The 3,451-nt window shown below is 44.6% G+C and overlaps 2 annotated features.

The window, feature by feature from the left end:
• Positions 1,219 to 1,268: an enhancer, noted in NCBI's record as "active region_2867". NCBI's record gives its function as "activates an Ori minimal core promoter by ATAC-STARR-seq in GM12878 lymphoblastoid cells {active_cell/tissue: GM12878}" and the evidence as "EXISTENCE:reporter gene assay evidence [ECO:0000049][PMID:35858748]".
• Positions 1,379 to 1,438: an enhancer, noted in NCBI's record as "active region_2868". NCBI's record gives its function as "activates an Ori minimal core promoter by ATAC-STARR-seq in GM12878 lymphoblastoid cells {active_cell/tissue: GM12878}" and the evidence as "EXISTENCE:reporter gene assay evidence [ECO:0000049][PMID:35858748]".

The following is a 3,451-nucleotide window of genomic DNA, read 5'->3' on the forward strand; positions in this document are numbered from 1 at the left end:
AGCAATGAAATAAAATATAAGTGACTCAGTCACTGGTTTTTAGTCAAGCCATGTATGCCTCACAAAAATCATACTATTGGCTGGGCGTGGTGGCTCGCGCCTGTAATCCCAGCACTTTGGGAGGCCGAGGTGCGTGGATCACCTGAGGTCAGGAGTTGGAGACCAGCCTGACCAATATGGTGAAACCCCATCTCTACTAAAAATACAAAAATTAGCCGGGCGTGGTGGTGGGTGCCTGTAGTCCCAGCTACTCGGGAGGCTGAGGCAGGAGAATTGCTTGAATGCGGGAGGCAGAAATTACAGTGAGCCGAGATTGCGCCACTGCACTCCAGCATGGGCAATAGAGTGGACTCCGTCTCAAGTAAACAAACAAACAAATGAACAAAAAACAAAATCATACTATCTATTACTTTTGTAATGAAGAATACTTACCTGTTTTCCTTCTCTTTGTGAGTTTGCAATAAAGTCCTCTCGATTTGCTTTAACTTGGCATGTGTCTTTCAGAGATATTGGAGAGCACTGGGAGGCATTCCTTAAAGGTAGATGAGGCAAAGAACCAAGACAAGGGGCTCTGGCTCTAACACTCTTGGTGGGTTCTAGAGATCAGATTATGAACACAGGAAAAGGAGAAGATAAATGGGATGAAGAAGCCAATTCCAACATATTACATAGCATGCTTATATGAAGGACTTGGCTTTCGTAAAGTAAGAACTGACAGCTTTTTTCTTGATGGCCATCCACTTTTTAGTCTGTGTCTCAGAAAGTGTAGAGGTCGAGGAATCGGGGGCCCCTGGGACTCTTGGGTCATAGACACATTAGGAAAACCCACCTCAGCTGGGGAAGCTGACTCAGCGCCAGCACTCCAGGCCCCAGAGGAGCAGTCACCCCTGGAAAGAGGGAAGAGCAGCAGCAGCAACGGAAGGTCACGTCTCCTCACAAGAACTCACAAAGTCTCGCTAATGTTATGACTGTACTTTCTGAAACCCAATTTGTCTTTGTTCATACCTTTTCCCTTCCTGCTAGTCACATTTTTTCTGGTGAGAGAAAGTGAAATTGCCATTTTTAATATCAGCCAGTCACTTTCAGTTTGAAATGCAGTCTGTTTCTTGGTAACCTCAGATACTTTGGCACTCCCCACCTCCGATCTCTTCTGTTCTCTCTAGTAGGGGAGGATGTCTGGCTTCTGGGCTGATCTCTGCCTTTGCTGAGCACCCCTGAGATCATCCCACTTGGGCTTGTGTCTTAGTCCGTTTGTACTAACAAAACACCTGAGACTGGGTAATTTCTAAGGAGCAGAAATTTATTTCTTAGAGCTCTGGAGGCCGTGAGGTCCAGGATCAAGGCGCTGGCCTTGGTGCCCGGTGAGAAGTGCTCTCTGCTTCCAAGATGGTGCCTTGTTGCCATGTCCTCACATGGCCCATGGCAGATAGGCAAGAGAGAGCACCCCCTTGAACCCGGAGCCCTTTTACAAGTGTGTGAATCCCATTCATCACCCCACAAACTCAATCACCCCACAAACACCACACCCCTGAATACTATTGTATTGGGGGATTAAGTTCTTTTTAAATTTTTATTTATTTGCGTATTTTTATTTATTTATTTATTTGGAGACAGGATTTGGCTCTGTCACCCAGGCTGAAGTGCAGTGACACAATCTCAGTTCACTGCAAGCCTTGACTTCCTGGGTTCAGAAGATCCTCCCACCTCAGCCTCCCCAGTAGCTGGGGACCACAGGTGATTTCAACTTGAAATCATTCATGCAATTTTAGTTTGGAATTCAGTGCTGTGAGTTCCAGTCCACTTAAGTGAGCTTTGGGTATTTAATGGAAGCAATTATTTTTCTTAAATGTACAAGAGTAAATTATTATTATTTTTTTTTGCATGAATGATGTATGGAAAATCACCGCGTTTTACTTTTGTGAGTTGACTTATTTATTTGTGTTGATTTTGATATTCCCAAATCTGAAACAAAATTTTTTCAGAATGCATAATAACACACAGAGTATGGTGGTCTTTCATTGACAAGTTTTTATGTATGATTAGAGTATCTTTTCAAGATTCATAATCTGCATTTTTTTAATATAGGGTCTCACTCTGTCACCCAGGCTGGAGTGCAGTGGCACAGTCCTAGCTCACTGCAGCCTCAATTTCCTGGGCTCAAGCGATCCTCCCACCTCAGCGTCCTGAGTAGCTGGTACTACAGGCATGCACCACCACATCCGTCTATTTTTTAATTTTTTGTGGAGATGGGGTCTCACTATGTTGCCCAGGCTGCTCTTGGCCTCCTGGCTTCAAGTGATCCTCCTGCCTCAAACCTCCCAAAGCGTTGGGATTACAGGTGTGAGCCACTGAAACTGGCCTGACCTACAATTTGAATACTACTGTACAGTTTACATTTTGCTGTCAGGTATTATTTTATTTATTTTTTCCTCTCTACAATAATGTATTATAGATCAGGTCTTGTTTTATTTGAGCCTCACAGGAAAGCTGAGGTGAGGGTCGCAGGCAAGGAGTCGGACCACAGGAGTGGTCGCAGCATTCAGCGGAGAGTGAAGCAGCGAAGGCTGGAAACCTCATCTGCTTCTCGTGAACTTCCCACTGCCCCAAGTGACTGATGTCCTTACACAATTGCAGCCAGTTCGCCAGCTGCATGAGTGACAGTGGCATAATTGACGATTGCCAAAAACGGAAACAGCCCAACTGTCCTTTGCCTAGGGAATAGAAAACCAAATTGTGGCCTATCCAACCCATGAAATACTTAACTGCAGTAAAAAGGAATAAGCTACTGATCTGAATCTCACAGGCATCATATGAAGTGAGCGGACTCGCTCACCAAAGGCTGCACACTGTTTATGTGATGCTCTGGAAAAGGTAATGCTTTAGCAGGTGGAAGAAGTGGGGCTGCGGGTGGGGACAGAGGCTGACTATGTGGCAGCACAGTGGGTGGGGACAGAGGCTGCACAGGGAGCATGTGCAGCTGATGCAGGTGCTCTGTGTGGGCTGTGGTGGTGGGTAGCTATATGCTTGTGAGCACTCACAGGCCTGTGCATGAAAAAGGTGCGAATATTTATTTTATTGTACATATTTCAGGTGTATAACATGGCAGTTTGATATACATAGTGAAATGATTGCTGCAGTCAAGCAAATTAACATGAGTTAACATAGCCACCATCTCACATAATAATCTTTCTTGTGGGTGGTAAAAACATCTAAAATCTCTCTTAGCAAATTTCAGGTTTATAATATTTTTAACTATCGTTCCCACACTGTTTGTTAGATCTCTCGGCTTATTTATCCTACATAACCGAAATTTCGTACCCTTTGACCGTCATTTTATTTCCTCTACCCCGGTAACTCTCTGTTTCTATATATTCAACTATTTTTTTTTGAGACAGGATCTCGGTCTGTCACTCAGGCTGGAGTGCAGTGGTGTGATCTCGGCTCACTGCAG

This window comes from Homo sapiens, chromosome 1 (genome assembly GCF_000001405.40).
Source record: "Homo sapiens chromosome 1, GRCh38.p14 Primary Assembly".
In the NCBI taxonomy this organism is placed as follows: Eukaryota; Metazoa; Chordata; class Mammalia; order Primates; family Hominidae; genus Homo; species Homo sapiens.